Source organism: Homo sapiens, chromosome 2, assembly GCF_000001405.40.
Source record: "Homo sapiens chromosome 2, GRCh38.p14 Primary Assembly".
In the NCBI taxonomy this organism is placed as follows: domain Eukaryota; kingdom Metazoa; phylum Chordata; class Mammalia; order Primates; family Hominidae; genus Homo; species Homo sapiens.
This window is the reverse complement of record NC_000002.12, coordinates 62,866,436-62,886,242: the sequence shown is the minus strand read 5'-3', so window position 1 is coordinate 62,886,242 and position 19,807 is coordinate 62,866,436. Positions and strand designations below refer to the sequence as shown.

At 36.1% G+C, this 19,807-nt stretch overlaps 1 protein-coding gene across 52 annotated transcripts in view; it reads right to left on the bottom strand.

The window, feature by feature from the left end:
• EHBP1 (EH domain binding protein 1) overlaps window positions 1-19,807 on the bottom strand; it is a 372,610-nt gene that overhangs the window by 160,245 nt on the left and 192,558 nt on the right. For all 52 annotated transcript variants that reach the window (XM_047443744.1, NM_001142615.3, XM_011532718.4 and 49 more), the window contains one exon: window positions 11,711-11,897. In XM_047443744.1, coding sequence (XP_047299700.1) covers window positions 11,711-11,897 — 187 coding nt within the window. The remainder of the gene's footprint in view (window positions 1-11,710; window positions 11,898-19,807) is intronic.

The window sequence follows — 19,807 nt, the reverse complement described above, 5'->3', positions numbered from 1 at the left end:
TTGATTGTGTGTTTACTGTTTTTCAGCAGGAATGGCCCTGAGACACCATTCTGCACAGTTTTACACAGACAGAAATTGAGGTAAAGAACTTTCTGGAAGGAAGCCATTATATAAGGTGAAAAGCTGAAAAGGGTGCTTGCTTTGTGGTTTGAATTTGCTCCTAGGAGCAATAAGTAAGACTGCTGTGAGTTACTTTGAGTTTACCCTGAGCTTTCCACAGTTTCTGTAGTCTACTCAAGTCTGAAAACATCCAAGTGAAAACCCTCAGTCTTGCTTAGAACTTTCTAGAAAGAAGCAACAATATGAGTGAAGACTTCAGTTATTTAGCTGAGCCATAAGATACAGATAGGGTTTCCATTTTCAGAGAGGGAGTAAGTAGACAGTAGCATTGCTGTCAATCACTGGAGCTCTGCCAATCAAGATCTTTGAGGGGGCCCTTCTCTACTTGACCAGACTCATTTCATCATGGAATGTACGGTGGGGCTCTTTTCTATGCAATCAGAGAACTGTAAGTTTAATTTATTTTAATTTTTTATTGTCAGTAATTGGCTGTTTATATTATGATTTTTATGGAACTAGGTCATATAGTATTTAATAACATACTTTAGCAGATGTATCTGGGAACAATTTCATTTATATTCCTGAATTTTTTCTAATAACTTAAATTGCATGTTGTATTAAGTGCATGAATTTTATCTAGTAGTTTGCATATTCATTAATTTATATTCATAGTCAGTAAAAGGTGGTCAGCCATCATTGGAACTAACTTATTTTACTGGATGGTTACATGTTTAATGTCAGTTTACTTCTCTAAACATTGATCTTTTTTCTTAAGCTGTTTTTTTAAAAATATTGTGGTTTTCTTATTTTACAAACATGGAAATCAATGGTCTGAAGTGTAGAGTTTATGTGGATTTATGATACTGAGGGGCTCACAGCTGCCTGTGGGGCAGTTTGAATTTTATTTTGCAACATAAGTATACATTTATTATCACTTTGTTTAAATTCTAGTCTTGGTGCTTTTTCATGAATTTTCTTAAAAATAAGTTTCAGGCAATAGGTGGAGAAATCAATCATCTGGCTGAGTTGTCATTTTATGACAGTGAACACTTTGCCACCTCCGCAGTCAGTTGTCATTGAGTGTAGTTCAGCATTTTGATATACAAATAATTGTTGTGTAATTTTTTATTATTCAACTATAATTTGAGCCGTTTTTTATCCAAAAGGTTTAATTAAATTATTTTGTCCTTTTCAATTTACAAATAATAAAACCAATTGGCCCAGATGCTGATCTTTTTAAGCATCAAAAACTCTTTAATAATTTTAACAGAAATGTTTTGATGTAAAACACATTTTCCTGCTTCCTTAAATAGAATATCGTATACTAAATGTAGTAAGACCCTTTCATATCAAAATGTCAATTATTTTACCAAGCTTTGATGCTGCAAAGTCTTCAGGAACTACTTAGATATACAGGCATATTCCTGTGATGAGTAAGTCCTGTACTACTTTCCAACTGCATTCTTGGCTTCCATTTATCATTTTTTAATTATTGTCAGCATATCACTGATGATAATCTACTGCCTTATCTCACACATAATTGTGTAGTTGGTGATTTCCTTCCTTTTGGTTTGGCAATAGTCTACATTTTTTCAAATGAAATCTTAAATGAACTCAAATATATAAAATGAATGAGCATGGATTTGCACAGTAGAAATGGAAAAGGGGGTCCGGAGCCTTCCTGCCAAGCGTCCATACCTGGTCCCCAGTGCAGAACACTAAGCCACCTGATAAAACCCCACGGGGCCCACACAATTTGATAACACTGGTCAAGCCTAAGAGTGACTTCCTCTGAGGGTAAATTTTAAGAAAATGTTATCTTGTACATATCATATACAGAAGGCAACAAAAAACAGATAAGTGATCTCATTACTCACCTCTATTAGCATAACAAACAAAAACAAAAGTACATGTATAAGGTTTGAAAATTCAAACAATATAGGAAGTTAAAACATGAAAAGAAATGCCTTCCTCAATGTTCGGCATACCTCCATCTTACCAAGACCTTTCTTCTCAGATGTAATCACTATTACTTGTGATTCCTTTGGAAATGTATGTGACCATATGTCTATGTGCATAGGCATATACATGTGAATAACATTTTTTATACACACAGAAATGAATAACATTTTTAATACACACTATATTCTGTTATGCACTTTTTTTACTTAATAATGTATCAGCAGTCTATTATTAATATTTTTTGTTATTAGGTGACAGTGTTTCACTCTGCCATACCGGCTGGAGTGCAGTGACGCATCACGGCTCACTTCAGCCTCTACCTCCCAGGCTCAAGTGATCCTCCCACCTTAACCTCCCAAGTAACTGGGAATACAGGCGTGAGCCATGATGCGCAGCTAACGTTTTTATTTTAATTTTTTTGTAGAGACAGGGTCTCACTATATTGCCCAAGCTGGTCTCTAATTCCTAGGCTCAAGCAATCCTCCTGCCTCGGCCTCCCAAACTGCTGGTATGACAGGCATCAGCCACTGTGCCTGGCTAGCAGTCTATTAATACTATTATTTTAAGAGATGGGATCTCAATCTCTGGGCTCAAGCAATCTTCCAGCCTCAATATGAGTAGCTGGGACTATAGACGGCTAGTCTTTTTTAGCATTAATTTTTCAGTTGGGTTTCACCAGGTATCTTATCCAAACTACCAGGTGTCTTATCCAAACTAACTTCCAGATCAGCAAAAGGTTACTGTGGATATGACTGTGTCTCTAATGTCTATGTCTGAGCATAATGAGGCATTTTCCAAGAGAAGCATGGTGCTAAACTTCTCAGTCTTTCCCATAAACATCATTTATTCCACAATGTATCTGCAATGAAACATTACCTTCAAAATAATGTAAAAATAGCTATTCACATAGCTATCACATACTTTCAAGCTACAAGAAAACTTAATCACCATATAAGTTCTATGGAAAAACGTATTTAGAGTTCCAACCTGGAACCAGAAATACCTCTCTCTAGAGATAGCATGACACAGTGAGAAAAGCATGGGTTTTGCACACAATGAACCTGAATTTTAATCCTGGCAGTGTCACTACTTGCTTTATCATTTTTAGCAAATTACTTATCCAAGGTTCAGTTTCTCATATGTAAAACAGAGATAATGGTATAGACAGTACATATATATGTGTGTGTGTATGTATATGTGTGTGTGTATATGTATAGTGTGTGTGTGCATCTGTGTGTGTGTATCCTCAGTTGCTCTATGGATCAAGTGAGGTAACAAAATATTGCCCGGCATACAGTAGGCACTGTTAAGTTTGTTTCCTTTCTTTTTTTTTTTTTTGAGAGGGAGTTTCACTCTTGTTGCCCAGGCTGGAGTGCAATGGCGCCATCTCGGCTCACTGCAAACTCTGCCTCCTGGGTTCAAGCAATTCTCCTGTCTCAGCCTCCTGAGTAGCTGGGATTACAGGCATGCGCCACCACACCTGGCTAATTTTGTATTTTTAGTAGAGACGAGGTTTCTCCATGTTGGTCAGGCTGGTCTCAAACTCCTGACCTCAGGTGATCTGCCTGCCTCGGCCTCCCAAAGTGCTGGGATTACAGGCGTGAGCCACCGCACCCGGCCCATTTCCTTTCCTCTACAGAGAAATTAGGAATTCTTAATTAGCTCCAAACTCCTGATGGAATAAAGAGGAATGGTATAGGAAGTAGGCAATGAGGGACTAGAGAATCAGAGAAACAAGTGATAGGTTTAGGTATTCTTTATGGTCAGAATGGATAAGGGACCTAAAGTTTCTTGATTCTGGCTAGTGTCCCAGTCACTGTTTATTTTTACTCTTATGGATATTGGAATTGGCCATCTCCTTTTGCCTTATATTTCTACCATCTGCTCTTTCCATTTAGCATTTTTCCCTCTTTCTCTAGCACAACCCAGCAAGACAGAATTTAAGTCATTGGGGGAAAAAAACACGTGATATAAAAACAAACACTTGGAGATTGACTTATGGAATGGCTGAATGAGGAACTCAGTGAACAAACTCTCCCTCTAAAACAATAAAAATACAGGCAAACAAATAAAATGAACTATTTCAGAAGTCTGGCATTTAACAAAAGCCACAGAATGAAATTAAAACTTGTCTACTCAAAAGAAACTACTGAACTTCAATGTCCTTGAGAAAAATAGAAGCCCAGGTACCCGAGTAGAGTATGGTTCCAAAATCATACAATTAATGAAAATGCTAGGTTCCAATCCTTTCTCTACTGGCAGGAGGTGGGGGACTTGTAATCTTTCCTTTATCCCTCTGAGATCAAGTTAATCTCATTTTTAACATTACCAGCTATGAGAATTAAATAACCTAATATAGCGGTAAAAGCACACCCATGACTAGATAGGCAAAAGTTATTTACCTAAAAAAATTTGCTAAGACCAACACACAGAAGACACCATATTATTTACAATGGAATCGTTTAATAGCTTTAGGTTTTATTCCAAAGGTGTTTTACCTTTCCATGTAGTCATCACGTATTAAAATTTCTAAAAAAGAGTGACAAGCCAAAATTATACCTTGACATAAATCAAAGTGACAAAATTGAAATTCTCCAACAAAACATTTAACTGGACTGAGACTTAATCTTGCCAGTTCATTTGTCAAAGGATGATTTAGATTTCTTCCTTTATATTTGTATAAAGCTGTCTCTTATGCCTAGCTGCTTTAGAGTTTCCTTTCCTTCCTTTTTCCTTCCCCTTCCCCTTCTCCTTCCCCTTCCTTTCCCTTTCCTTTCCTTCTTTTTTTTTTTTTTTTTTTTTCCGTTTTTCCTTTCCAACTTGTATTACAGGTTCAGGACGTACATGTGTGGGTTTGTTACATGAGTAAATTGTGTGTCATGGGGGACTGGTGTATAGATTATTTCATCACCCAAGTAAAAAACACAGTATCCAGTAAGTAGATTTTTTTGATCCTCACCCTCCTCCCACCCTCCACCCACAAGTAGGCCCCAGTGTCTATTGTTCCCTTCTTTGTGTCCATGTGTACTTAATGTTTAGCTCCTACTTATAAGTGACAACATGCAGTATTTGGTTTTCCGTTCCTGAGTTAACTTGTTTAGGATAATGGCCTCCAGCTCCATCCATGTGCTGCAAAGAACATGATTTTGTTCTTTTTTATGGCTGCGTAGTATTCCATGGTGTATATATATATACCACATTTTCATTATTTGGTCTACTGCTGATGGGCAATGTAGGTTGATCAAGTGTGTTTTCTATTGTGAATAGTGCTGTGATAAACATACCTAGTATGTTTGGGTATATACTTGGTATATACCTAGTAATGGGATTGCTGGATGCAATGGTAGATCTGTTTTAAATTCTTTGGGAACAATCTCCAAACTGTTTTCCATAGTGGCTGAACTATTTTACATTCCCACCAGCAGTGTATAAGTATTCCCTTTTCTCTGCAACCTCACCAGCAACTGTTATTTTTTGACTTTTTAATGATAGCCATTCTGCCTGGTATGAGACAGTATCTCATTGTGGTTTTGATGTGCATCTCTCAAAAGATTACTGATGTTGAGCATTTTTTCTCATATACTCGATGGCCACATGTATGTATTCTTTTGAGAAGTGTCTTTTCATGTTCTTTGCTCATTGTTTAATGGGGTTGGTCGGTTGTTTTTTGCTTGTTAATTTAAGTTACCTATGGATTTTGGATATTAGACCTTTCTCAGATATGTAGTTGGAAAATATTTTCTCCAATTCTGTAGATTGTCTGTTTACTCTGGCAAGAGTTTTTGTTTTTTGTTTTTTGTTTCTTTCTTTTTTGCTGTGCAGAAGCTCTTAGTTTGATTAGGTCTCATTTATCAATTTTCTTTTTTTTTTTTTTCACAATTGCTACTGGAGTTTTTGTCATGAAATCTTCATCAGGGCCAATATCACATAATGGTATTTCCTAGGCTTTCTTCTAGGGTTATAATTTTATAGTTTTAGGTTTTACATTTAAGTCTTTAATGCATCTTGAGTTAATTTTTGTATGTGGTGAAAGGAAGGGGTCCAGTTTCAATCTTCTTTACATGGCTATCCAGTTAACCTGGCACCACTTGTTGAATAATGAATCCTTTCCCCATTGCTTGTTTTTGTCAACTTTCTCAAAGATCAGATGGTCGTAGTTGTGTGGCTTTATTTCTGAGTTCTCTTAACTGTTCCATTGGTCTGTGCGTCTACCAGTACCATGCTGTTTTGATTACTGTACCCTTCTAGTATAGTCTAAAGTCAGATAGTGTGATGCCTCAAGCTTTGTTCTCTTTGCTTAGGATTGCATTGGCTATCCAGGCTATTTGTTGTTGTTGTTGTTTTTCCATATGAATTTTGGAATAGTTTTTTTTTTCTAATTTTGTGAAAAATTCATTGGTAATTTTGATAGAAATAGCATTGAATCTGCAAATTGCTTTAGGCAATAAGGCCATTTTAATATTGATTTTTCCGATCCATGAGCATATAATGTTTTTCTACTTGTTTGTGTCATCTCTGATTTCTTTCAACAGTGTTTTGTAATTCTCATTATAGAGATCTTTCTCCTCCCCAGTTAGCTGTATTCATAGGCTCTCTCTCCCTCTCTCCCTCTCTCTCTCTCTCTGTCTCTGTGTGTGTGTGTGTGTGTGTGTGTGTGTGTGTGTGTGTGTGTGTTATTGTGAATAGGACTGTGTTCTTAATTTGGCTTTCAGCTTGAATGTTATATAGACTTGTAGTTGTATAGAAATGTTATGGATTTTTGTACAGAAATTTTGTATCCTGAAACCTTACTGAAGCTTTTTATTGGATCTAGGAGCTTTGGAGCAGCAACTATGAGGTTTTCTCAATACAAGATCATGTCATTTAGGAAAAGTGATTGACTTCTCTTCCTATTTGGATTGTTTCTATTTCTTTCTCTTGTGTGAATGCTCTGGCTAGGACTTCCAGTACTATGTTGAATAGGAGTGGTGACAGTGGGCATCCTTGTTTTGTTCTGGTCCTCAAGGGGAATACTTCCAGCTTTTGCCCATTCAGTATGGTGTTAACTGCAGAACTGTCATAGACGGCTCTTATTATTTTGAGGTATGTTCCTTTAATACCTAGTTTGTTAAGGGTTTTTAACATGAAGGGATGTTAAATTTTATTGATAGCTTTTTCTGCATTTACTCAGATAAACATGTAGTTTTTTGTTTTTTTTTTTTTTGAGACAGCGTCTCACACTGTCACCCAGGCTGGAGTGCAGTGGCACAATCTTGGGTGACTGCAACCTCCACCTTCTGGGTTCAAGTGATTCTCTTGCCTCAGCCTCCCAAGTAGCTGGGACTACAGGCGCCCACCACCACACCTGGCTAATTTTTGCATTTTTAGTAGAGACGGTGAAATTTCAATTTCTCCATTTTGGCCAGGCTTGTCTCAAACTCCTGACCTCAGGTGATCCACCCACCTCAGCCTCCCAAAGTGCTAGGATTACAGGTATGAGCCACTGTGCCCAGCCATAAACATGTAGTTTTTGTCTTTAGTTCTGTTTATGTGATGGATCACATTTACTGATTTACATATTTTGAACCAACCTTACATCCCAGGAATGAAACCTCCTTGATCATGGTGGGTTAGCATTTTGATGTGCTGCTGGGTTTAGTTTTCTAGTATTTTGTTAAAGATTTTTGCATCTACATTCATCAGAGGATACTGACCTGAAGTTTTCCTTTTTTGTTGTGTCTTTGCCAAGTTTTGGTATCAGAAGGATGTTGGTCTCACAGAATGCGTTAGAGAGGAGTCCCTCATCTTATTTTTTTTGGAAAGTTTCAGTAGGATTGGTTATCAGCTCTTCTTTATATGTCTGGTAGAATTCAGCCATGAATCTGTCTAGTCCAAGGCTTTTTCTGTTTGGTAGGCTTTTTATTACTGATTCAATTTCAGACCTTATTATTGGTCTGTTCAGGGTTTCAATTTCTTCCTGGTTCAGTCTTGGGAGGTTGTGTTTCCAGTAATTTACTCATATCTTGTAGGTTTTCTGTGCATAGAGGGATTTGTAATAGTCTCTGAATGTTTTTCCTATTTCTATGGGGTTGGTGGTAATGTCTCCTTTGTCATTTCTGGTATTTATTTGAATCTTCTCTTTTACTAGCCTAACGAGCAGTCTGTCAATCTTATTTATTCTTTCAAAAAACCAACTTTTGGGTTCATTAATTTTTTTGTACTGTTTTTCAAGCCTCGATTTCATAGACTTCAGCTCTGATTTTGGCTGAAGATTTGTCATCTTCTGCTAGCTTTCGGTTGGTTTGTTCTTGATTCCCTAGTTCCTCTAGGTGTGGTATAACGTTGTTAATTTGAGACCTTTCTAACTTTTTAATGTGGGCACTTGGTGTTACAAGCTGTCCTCTTAATACTGCTTTAGCTGTGTCCCAGAGATTCTGGTATGTTGTATTTTTGTTTTCATTTGTTTCAAAGAATTTCTTGATTTCTGCCTTATTTGTTTACCCAAAAGTCATTCAGGAGCAGGTTAATTTCCAACATGGTTTTGAGAGATGGTCTTAGTATTGATTTCTGTTTTTATTGTGCTGTGGTCTGAAGGTATAGTTAGTATGATTTCAGTTATATTGAATTTTTTGAGAATTGTGTTATGACTGAGCATGTGGTTGATTTTGGAGTATGTACCATGTGCAGATGAAAATAATGTACATTCTGTTGTTGGTCACAGTGTTCTGTAGATGTCTGTTAGGTCCATTTAGTCAAGTGACAAGTTTAGGTTCTGAATATCTTTATTAGTTTTCTGCCTGGATGATCTGTCTAATATTGTCAGTGGGGTGTTGAAGGCTCCAATTATTATTGCATAGTTATCTCTTTGTAGGTCCCTAAGAACTTGTTTTATGAATCTGGGTGCTCCAGTGTTGGGTGCATATTATTTAGGATAGCTAAGCCTTCTTATTGAATTGAACCCCTTACCATTATGTAATGCCCTTCTTTGTGTTTTCTGATCTTTGTTGGCTTAAAGTCTGTTTTGTCTAGCATTAGAATAGCAACCCCTCCTCTTTTTTGTTTTCTGTTTGCTTGGTAGATTTTTCTCTATCCCTTTACTTTGGGCCTATGGGTGTCAATGCATGTGAGATGGGTCTCTTGAAGACAGCATACAGTTGGGACTTCTTTATCCAACCTGCTCTTCTGTGCCTTTTAAGTGGGGCACACAATGGCAAGTTGGATAATTTACATTCAAGGTTAATATTGTCATATGTGGATTTGGTTCTATCATTGTGTTGTTAAGCTAATTGTTATATAGATTTGATTGTGTAGATGCTTTATAGTGTCCATGGTTGATATGGTTTGTCTCTGTATCTCCACCCAAATCTTATGTCGAATCGTAATTCCCAATGTTGGAGGAGGGACCTGGTGAGATGTGACTGGATCATGGGGCAGGTTTCCCCCTTGCTGTTCTTATGATACTGAGTGAGTTCTCATGAGATCTGGTTGTTTGAATTTGTGTATTCCTTCTGCTCCCACCATGTAAGATGTGCTGGCTTTCCCTTTGCCTTCTGCCATGATTTTAAGTTTCCCGAGGCCTCCCTAGCCATGTCTCCTATACAGCCTGCAGAACTGTGAGTCAATTTAACCTCCTTTTAAAATAAATTACCCAGTCTTGAGTAGTTCTTTATAGCAATGTGAGAACAGACTAATACAATGGTCTATGTATTTAACTGTGTTTTTGTGGTGGCCAATAATTATCTTTGGTTTCTATGTTTAGCACTCCCTTAAGGACCTCCTGTAAGGCAGGTCTGGTGATAACAAATTCCCTTAGCATTTGCTTTTCTGAAAAGAAATTTATTTCTTCTTATCTTACGAAGTTTAGTTTGGCTGGATACAAAAATTCTTGGTTGGAATTTCTTTTCTTTATGAATGCTGAATATAGGCTCCCAATCTCTTCTGGCTTGTAGGGTTTCTGTTGAAAGGTCTGTGGTTAGCCTGGTGGAGTTCCTGTAAAGGTGACATGCCCTTTCTCTCTGCCTTTACTATTTTTTCTTTCACTTTGATCTGGGAGAATCTGATGACCATATGACTTAGGGATGGTCATCTTATATGGAATCTCACAGGGGTTCTTTGAATTTCCTGCATTTGAATGTTGACCTCTCTAGCAAGGATGGGGAAATTTTCATGGACAATATCCTTGAATATGTTTTCCAAGTTGCTTGCTCTCTCTCCCTCTGTTTCAGGGATGCCAATGAGTAGTAGGTTTGGTTTCTTTATATAATCTCATATGTCTTAGGGGATTTGTTAGTTCATTCTTTTTTTTTCTGTATTTTTGTCTGACTGAGCTGTTTAGAAGAATTGGTCTCCAAGCTCTGAGATTCTTTCCTCAGCTTGGTCTATTCTGCTGTTAATACTTCCCATTGTATTATGAAATCCTTCTAGTGAGTTTTTCAGCTCTATCAGATAATTTTGGTTCTTTCATAAAATGACTATTTCATTTTTCAGCTCTTGTCTCATTTTACTGGATTCCTTGGATTACATTTCAACTTTCTCCTGAATCTTGATGATCTCTATGGCTATCCAGATTCTGAATTCTATGTCTGTCATTTTAGCCATTTTGGCCTGGTTAAGTATCATTGCTGGGGAGCCAGTGTGATTGTTTTGAGGTAAGAAGACACTGGGTTTTTGAGTTGCCATTGTTCTTGCACTGGCTTTTTCTCATCTGTGTGGGCTGATGTTCCTTTAATCTTTGAAGCTGCTGTCCTTTGGATGCAGTTTTTTACTTTTACATTATTTGATGCCATTGAAGGTTTGACTATGGTATAAGTTGTGTTCAGATGACTGGCTTTGTTTTTGGATTATTTCAGGGGGCCAAGGCTCTCTCAGCACTCGTGGGCTGCATGCTCTAACCCACAGGGCCTGGTACCAGACCCACGGCTTTGTTATCTGGGACCTCAAATTTAAGCACCTGCTGTGCTCGAGGGCCTGAGATGTTCCCAGTCTGCTGGCAAGATCACTCTGATGTGGGGTGCTGGCAAAAGCATTTCATCGGGGTGGCAGCAGTGAGGTTCATGCCCATACTGATGGGGCAGTGGGGACTGTGCATGTGCACTTGCACTGGTGGCGGCAATGAGGTGGGGTGCACATACACCAGCAGGGATGGGGCAGCAGTGCCTACATGCTGGCAGGGGCAGGGTGGCAGGGTCTGTGTGCATATGCTTACACCAGCAATGGCGGGGTGGCAGGGTGCACACATGTGTGCACTGGAGGGGGCAGGGTAGGGTCAGGGTGGTAGTCATGAGGTCTGTGCACAAGCCCATCAATGACAACAGGGTGGTGAGGTCTGTGTGCACATGCATGCCATCAAAGTGGTGTGGGGAGGCGGTGGGTGGGTGTCCATCAGCAGGGGCCTGTCTGCTGAAGCTCTCCTATAGTTATAGAGTATCCTTTCTTTAAAGCACCAATCTTACAATTATAAGACCTTTCTTCCTCTCATTTCAAAATAGCATTTTAAAAACAATCTTAACCCAAGCCATCCAATCCATACTGTACTGTAAACTTATGGGCTCACAAACATAAATGCAGTGTTGCAGTACAATAGATTGTCTTGGATATTATTTTTAAATCATCAAAAATAGCCAAAAATTACTTTTCTTAATTTAAATTAAATGGCACGGGGAGAAAACAGCAAATATTAATACATGTTTTACTATGAATAAAATCCTACCTTAGGAGAAGTAGAGAGATCTTTTCCTGCAGAAACTGTGTTTTCATTTAATACTCCTGTTTTTGGTGAGAGGACTGGTGGAGCCGGGGCCTTTCTTTTCACTCGCCTTTCAGTTTCTAGTTCTTGAACAGGATTTACCAAATTATTTGGAGGAGGAGTTGATTTAGGTTCATAAAAAGGATTTGATCTAAGTGAAAGAAGAATTATTGTTAGATGTCTCTCAAAAAATAGTTCATTTACAAGTAAAATAATAAAACATGCACTGAAAACTAAAATTTCTTTTTTCAAATAAAACCCAAACCAGTGATAACCTGGAATTTGGAAATAATGACTATTAATCTTTTGGTCCATTTCTATCCAGATTTATTTTTTAATTTGGTTTTAAAAAGTACTTAAAATATTTAATACAAGGTCACATTCAGCTCAAACTATTATATATAGAAGCTTAGAAAAATGTTAAATATTAACAATAGTAAATCGTGTATATTTTCCATATCCAAGGAAAAGGAAGTAAGATGTAAAAAATGTCAATTTGATTTCTTTTTTAAGCTCGAGCTCTGTTACGTTTTCTTGTATTTCATCTTTTCTTCTATGTTAAATTCTTCCCTCATTACGGAACATGTTTTAGCAGTTCATTCAGCAAGATTCTGCTTATAGTAAATTCTCCTAGGCTTTGAAAATGTCTTTATTTCAGCCTTACATTTAAGTGATAGTTTAGCTGGGTAGAGAATTCTAGTTGTCAGTTATTCTGTTTCAGGGTTTGAAGATATTAATCCACTGTCAGCCTAATATTGCTCCTTTGTAAGTCATCTTTTCTATGTAGTTGTTAAGATCTTCTCTTTATTTCTAGTTTGAGCAATTTTGACACCCATGACATGTCTAGGTGTGGATTTATTCTGTTTCAGACTCCTTGTATTTCCTGAGTCTGAAGAGTCATGTGTTTTATCGGTTCTGAAAAATTATCTGCCTTTATCTCTTTGATAGCCTCTTCTGTATTTTCTCTATTCTCTTTGAAATATCTTATTAGATATATGTTGAACAACTTCCTGTCAGGTTTCCTAGCCTTTCCATTTTTATAAATCTTTATTCTTCTTGTGCTATATTCTAGATAACTCTCTCACATCTCTGATCCAGTTCATTTTTTCTTTGTGTCTAATATTTAATTCTCCAGGAATTTTTAATTTTAATAAGTACATTTCTTCATATATCTGTGTGTATGGTACCTCAGTTACAAAGATTTGAGTTACTAATCATTTAAACATACTTATTTTATAGTCTCTATCTGTCAAATCTAGTATTTGAAGTTCTTGCATGTATAATCCTATTTCTTTTGTCTCCTGACTCTTTCTCTTAGTAAACTGTTTCCTTGTGTGTTTTGTAATTCTATATTGTGAGTTCAGGGTTTCACCTGAGGAATTCCTGTGTAGTCTAAGTTAAGAGTGCCTCTCTTCAGAGCGTTTAACACTTGCATTTGCCAAGTACTTTAGGACTAAGAAAATTAATATCTCCACACACTTGTAATTCACCTCTGAGACAACAGTGTGCTGGCACCACTACTGGTTAGGCACTAAATCAGAATAAGGACAAGAAGCCTCTACTTATAAAAGTTTTGAATGGTCCTTTTCCCTTCTAGATCAGAGATCCCTAACTTAAATTCAATTCCCTACTTTTCAAGAATGAACAGGAAATGTTTCCATTTAGGTGAAATGTCCAGAATAGTCAAATTCACAGAAACAGAAAGTAGATTAGTTGTAGCCAGAGAATGAAGGAAGTGGGGGAATTGGGACTAAATGTTAATAGGTATGAGGTTTCTTTTTGTGGTAATGAAAACATCCTGGTATTAGATAGTGGTAATGGTAGAACAATATAGTGAACATACTAAAAATCACTGACATGTAAATTTTAAAGTGTATAATTTCATGTTATGTGAAGCATATATCAATTTTTTTAAGTGCTATAAAAAATGAACAGGAATAGTGGCTGTACAGAGATAGTATTGTGTGAACACTTATCCCTTTCTCTACAATGACAAGTTACATACTTGCTGATTAATATATTTTAAATATAAATAAATGTAAGCAAATAAAAAATATTTACAGAATTGAGACTATTTTCACATTCTGTTGATCATCTATGATTTGAAAAATCTATTTCAGAACTTTATGCATCACTCTAAAAGACAATTATTTTTATCTTGGTATTGTATATTTGAGTAATAAATTAGTTATATCACTAACTCAGTAAGTTGAAAATTCATCGGTTATATTAGGAGAAAATTGGACAGAATAATTTTAAATGACATTATTTATTGCTTAGAAAATAATTCATCAAGAAAAATGAATTATAGAGAGAAAAACCAAAGTTGGTTCAGGATTAATTTAAACATACTGGAAAAATAATACAAAATGAAGCTAAGGAATAGTCTCTTCCTCTCACCTTGATATCTATGTTTCTTTGGAAAAACAAATTCAAAGTTATTAAAATGGGCATGTAGCTTCCCTGAATAAAATTCAATGAAAGGTTTCCTTGGCAAACTGACACAAAACCATACGAGAAATGACTGCATGCTGGGCCTCAAAAGTCACTTCATAAAAGTTCTGAAAAAATAATATTGGCTTATTGGTTTTCATTTTTACTACATAAACTAGAAGAGTTGAATTATCCCCCAAACATAAGTAACTGAGAAACCCATGCAGTTGCTAAGTGTAAAGGACACGTCCTAAAAGGCAAGGAAGGGTGAATACTTTCTCTTTGTGCTTATGGATATGCTGGGGCACTAAAGGTAGTTCCACACATCAAAGGATTCAGTACTATTTATTTGTGATAGTTTAATGTCAGAGTATACAGGAAGTTTGGTAATGGAAGGTGAGTCACATAGGCTTTTTGCTTGATGAAAGGTCATAAGTTTATTATTGAAGTAAGAACAAATTTTGGAAGATTTCTGCTACTGACATTGAACCTATAAACTTTTGTAGAGAAAAGATGATAAATACTAAACAAGTAATTAATACAAACAGAGTTCTTTCTGGACTTGCACATTAGCTTATGCGCAATCTTTAGAACTTGTGTGTATATTTCTACAAAATAAAGAAGCTAGAGTATTTACAGGCTCCCTCTGGTAACCCCAGATGATTGAGCAAGTTAGAACACTCTTTATTCACGAGAAACTTGTAAAGACTGTGACTTTCATGTGGAAAAAGAATGGCCAAAAGGAAACACCCAATGATTCTGATTTTAGTTTTTATTAAGGCATTTAAAAAGTTTAAGCAAACATTAGATGTCTCTTTAATTTGTTAATAAGAGAGCAGGTGTGAGTGTGTTGTGTAATACTCATGTATCTTGGAATACCTGAATGCCTGTACTTAAAGTTTGCATTTACATTCAAATATTCTAGGTGTGTGGCTATTACTCAGCACCTACACCACCCATGAGAAATTTTATTTCAATCACATGTTAGCTATTTCAAAGAAAACAAACACAATAACTTTACCAAGTGTTCGGCCAACTTTTCAACCCCCCATATAGTTATTAATTAGAAATAAGATGTCAACCTGGGTTTGGGTTTAGAATCAGATGATTATTATGATGTAACTCTGAGATTTTTGGAGATTAGAACTTTTTTAGGTTTTATCAAAACCTAGCCATACCCAGGAAGCATGCAGCACATGCTATAAAATGTGGAAAAGATGAGAAACACAACTCCACAGCAATAGAAAACAAGTCAATTTTCTCACTCTTTCAAATAAAAGTCTCAAAAATATACATATATATATTTTAAATACATATATATATATGTATTTTTTTTTTTTTTTTTTTTGAGATGCAGTCTCGCTCTGTTGCCCAGGCTGGAGTACAGTGGCATGATCTGGGCTCACTGCAACCTCCACCTCCCAGATTCAAGCGATTCTCCCACCTCAGCCTCCTGAGTAGCTGGGATTACAGGCACCTGCCACTACACCCAGCTAATTTTGTATTTTTAGTAGATGGGGGGGGTCTCACCATGTTGGTCAGGCTGGTCTCAAACTCCTGACCTCAGGTGATCCACCTGCCTTGGCCTCCCAAAGTGTTGGGATTACAGGTGTGAGCCACCACACCTGGCTAGTCTCAAAATATTTGAAGTTGGTTATTAAAGTTCCCTTAAATCATCTATTTTTAAAATCAAACAGTCCCTGTGCTCTGAATTATTGTTCATTTGATGTGGTTCTGGACACTTTAATGACTCTTTTTCTCTACTTTGTTAACATTCTGAATCACCAATGCCCCTTATAAAATACAACAACTAGTAGTCAAATAGTGCTTAAAATAAGAGCTAACCAATGCACAATAGAGAGATAACATTTCTCCTTTTGCACAAAGCTATTACCCCAAACTTTCATGAATCAAAGGAGCCTTATTATTATTCCCCTCTCAACCCACATATAGAGTGTTTTGAAATATTTTCCTTTCAACCTGCATTTTTAAAGAAATAACTATTTTTCCCAAGTTCTAAATAATGTTAATACACAAAAGTTTATGTATTTCCAAAGAAAGCAAAGACTCATATAGTCTCACAAGTGATCATATAATTATATTACTTATTATTAAATATTTTAAAGATCTCTCCCGTCACACACCAGTTATTTACATCAAATAGACCTAAAGGCCCAAGAATTCCAAGCTGGATATCACTCACGTGATATAATATTTCTGCTATTAAAGTTAAAGATTGCTGTTCTTTTTAAAACAGCTTTATTTAGGTATAAATGATAAACAATACATGGCTTACATTTGAAAATATTTAATGAGTATTTTTTATGCATGCATGCAAGTGTGAAACCATCAGCACAAATCAAGATAACAAACATTTCCAAACATTTCCAGTCCCTCCAAAAGTTTCCTGCATGCCCCTTTTTAATCTCTTCCTCCCTCCAGCTCTGATTGTAAACAACTACTGATCTGTTTTTTCTCACTATAGATTGTTTGCATATTCTAGAGTTTAAAATAAATGGTATCACACAGTATAGTATTTTCTGGTCTGTCTTCTTTCACTCAGTATAATGATCTTGCAATTTACCAACAGTTTGTTCCTCTTTATTACTGAGTAGTACTGCATTGTATGGATATGCCACAGTTTGTTTATCCATTTGTCTGTTGATAGATATTTGAATTGTTCCCATTTTGTTATTATAATCAATAAAGTTGTTAAAATATTTATGTAGAAGTCTTTGTGGACATATGCTTTCACTTCTCTTGAAACGTAGAAATGGAATGTCTGGGTCAAGTGATACATGTATGTTTAACTTTTTCAGAGACTGCCAAACTTTTTTCTAAAATGGTTGAACCATTCAGAAGTACTCTGAGAGTTCTGTGGAGTTCCGGTGGCCCCACATCCTTGACAATACTTGGTATAGTCAGTCTTGTAAATTTTAGTCATTTGGGTAGGTGTGTAGTGATATCTTATTGTGGTATCAATTTGCATTTTCTTGATGACTAATGAAGCTGAGCATCTCTCCATTCCTATACAATATTTTCATTTGTGAAATGTCTGTTGGAATATTTCCCCCTTTCTTTTAATAAATTTTTAAATTTATTATTTTTTAGAGACGAGGTCTCACAGCGTTGCCCAGGCTGGAGTGCAATGGAGTGATCATAGCTCACTGCAGCCTTGAAACCCTGGGCTCAAGTGATCAGCCCATATCAGCCTCCTGAGTAGCTGGGACCACAGGTGTGCACTATCACACCCAGCTAATTAAAAAAAAATTTTTTTTTTAAGAGATAGACTCTTGTTATGCTGCTCAGGTTGGTCTCCAACTTCTGGGCTCAAGAGATCCTCCAACCACAGCCTCCTGAGTAGCTGAGATTACAGGCATGAACCACTGCACCTGGCCTCCCCTTTCTTATTACTGAGTTAAAAGAGTTCTTTACATATTCTGGATACGTCTTTTGCCAGATGCAGGTATTGCAAATCATTTCTGCCAAACTGTGGCTTGCTTTTTCATTTTTGTAAGAGTTTTATAAAGAGAAAAACGTTTTAATATTGATGAAGTACAAATTAACCATTTTTTGTTTTATCCTTTGTGTTTTGTTGCATTCTACTTAAGAAATCTCCCAAATACAAAGTCACTAAGACTTTTTCCTATGTCCTCTTCTAGAATCTTCAGTTTTTTGTTTTTTAAGGTGGAGTTTTGCTGTTGTTGCCCAGGCTGCAGTACAATGGTGTGATCTTGGCTCACTGTAACCTCCACTTCTCGGGTTCAAGCAATTCTCCTGCCTCAGCCTCCCAAGTAGCTTGGATTACAGGTGACTGAAACCATGCCTAGCTAAGTTTTTGTATTTTTTTTAGTAGAGACAGGGTTTCACCATGTTGGCCACGCTGGTCTTGAACTCCTGACCTAAAGTGATCCGCCCGCCTCGGCCTCCCAAAGTGCTGTGATTACAGGTGTGAGCCACTGTGCCTGGCTGAATCTTCAGTTTTTATTCTTACTTTTAGTTGTGTGATCTATTTTTAGATAAATGTTTTATACAGTGGAAGGTAAGAATTGTAGCTTTTTTTTTGTTGAGGAGGGGCATATGGACATTTAATTGTTCTAGCATCATTTCTTGAAAAGATTATCATTTCCTAATTGATTTTCTTTGCTAGCTTTGTCAAAAATAAATTGGCAATATATGTATGAATCTAATTCCAGGCTCTCTTCCAGTCACCTACAGTCTATTAGTAAACTAATACCACACTGTCTTGGTTAATGAGTTTTAAAATCAGATAGTATAAATCCTCAAATTTTGCTCTTTTTCAAAGTTGTTTTGATTATTCTAAGTCCCTTTCATTTCCACATACATTTTATAAACAGCTGACAAATTATTTTTTTAAAAAGCATGCTAAAATTTTGATTGGGATGGCACTGAATTTATAAATTGACTGAAAATAACTTATATCTTTGAATCCATGGCCATTGTATTTTTTCCCATTGATTTCACTCTTTAATTTCTCTCAGCAACGTTCTGTTGTTTTCGGTATATACATATTGCACATCTTTGTTCAAATTTATCCCTGAGTTTTTTGTTTTGGATGCTTCTATAAATGGTATTTTTTTCAATATTGATTTCTGATTGTTCATTGTGACTACAGAGAAACACAATTGAATTTATATATTAATATTGTAGCCTGTAACCTTGCTAAATTTACTTTTTAGTTTTAGTACCCATTTTAAAGATTCCTTATGCTTTTCTATATAAACAATTGTCAACTCTGAAAAAAGTGTCTTCAAGTAACATTATGTATAAGAAGCTTAAAACAGTATCCTTTCATTCTGCTACTCAGCCTTTACACAACCATCATAACGTTTTACTTCTATATGTTATAAAACCCAGAATACATTATTGAAGCCTTAAACAATTATCTACCAGAGAGATTTTTAAAAATAAGACAAGTATTTTATATATACTAATATATTTGTCATTTCATGTGCTTTTTTCCTTCGTGTAAATCCAAATTTTCAAGTAGTATCATTTTGCTTTTTTGGAGTGCTGGGAATAGAAAATTATGTTGACAGGTTTTTGTTGTTATACTTTTCCTTCAGTCCTTTAAGAATATCACCTCATTGTCTTCTGGCTTGAGTTGTTTTTGTTAACAAGCTTTGCTATGACTTTCTTCATTTTTCTTGTGCTTGAGTTTCATTTGGCTTCTTTGACCTGTAGGTTTGTTTATATTTTTAAATTTTTTTATTTCTAAAACTTTTGGTGTTTACTTCTTCAAATACTTTTTCTGTCCTCTTACCTTCTCTTCACTTCTTTACACACGTTAGGCCACTGAAGTTGTTCCACAGTTCACTGATCCTTTGTTATTTTCTTCTTTCTCTCTTTTAATCTGGATGGATTCTATTGCTATGTCTTTAGGTTAACTAGTATTTCCTTTTGCAGTATTTAACAAGGGGTTAACCTCATCCAGTCTATTTTTCACCTGACTTTGTATGAGATGAAAAATCTCATCTCTATAAATTCAATTTCAATTTTCTAATATCATCTATGCTGTCTTCTTCTACCTTCTTGGATATCTGGAATATATTTATAAAAGTTATTTTACCAGGTTGATCTTTTAATTCCATCATCTGTCCCATTTCT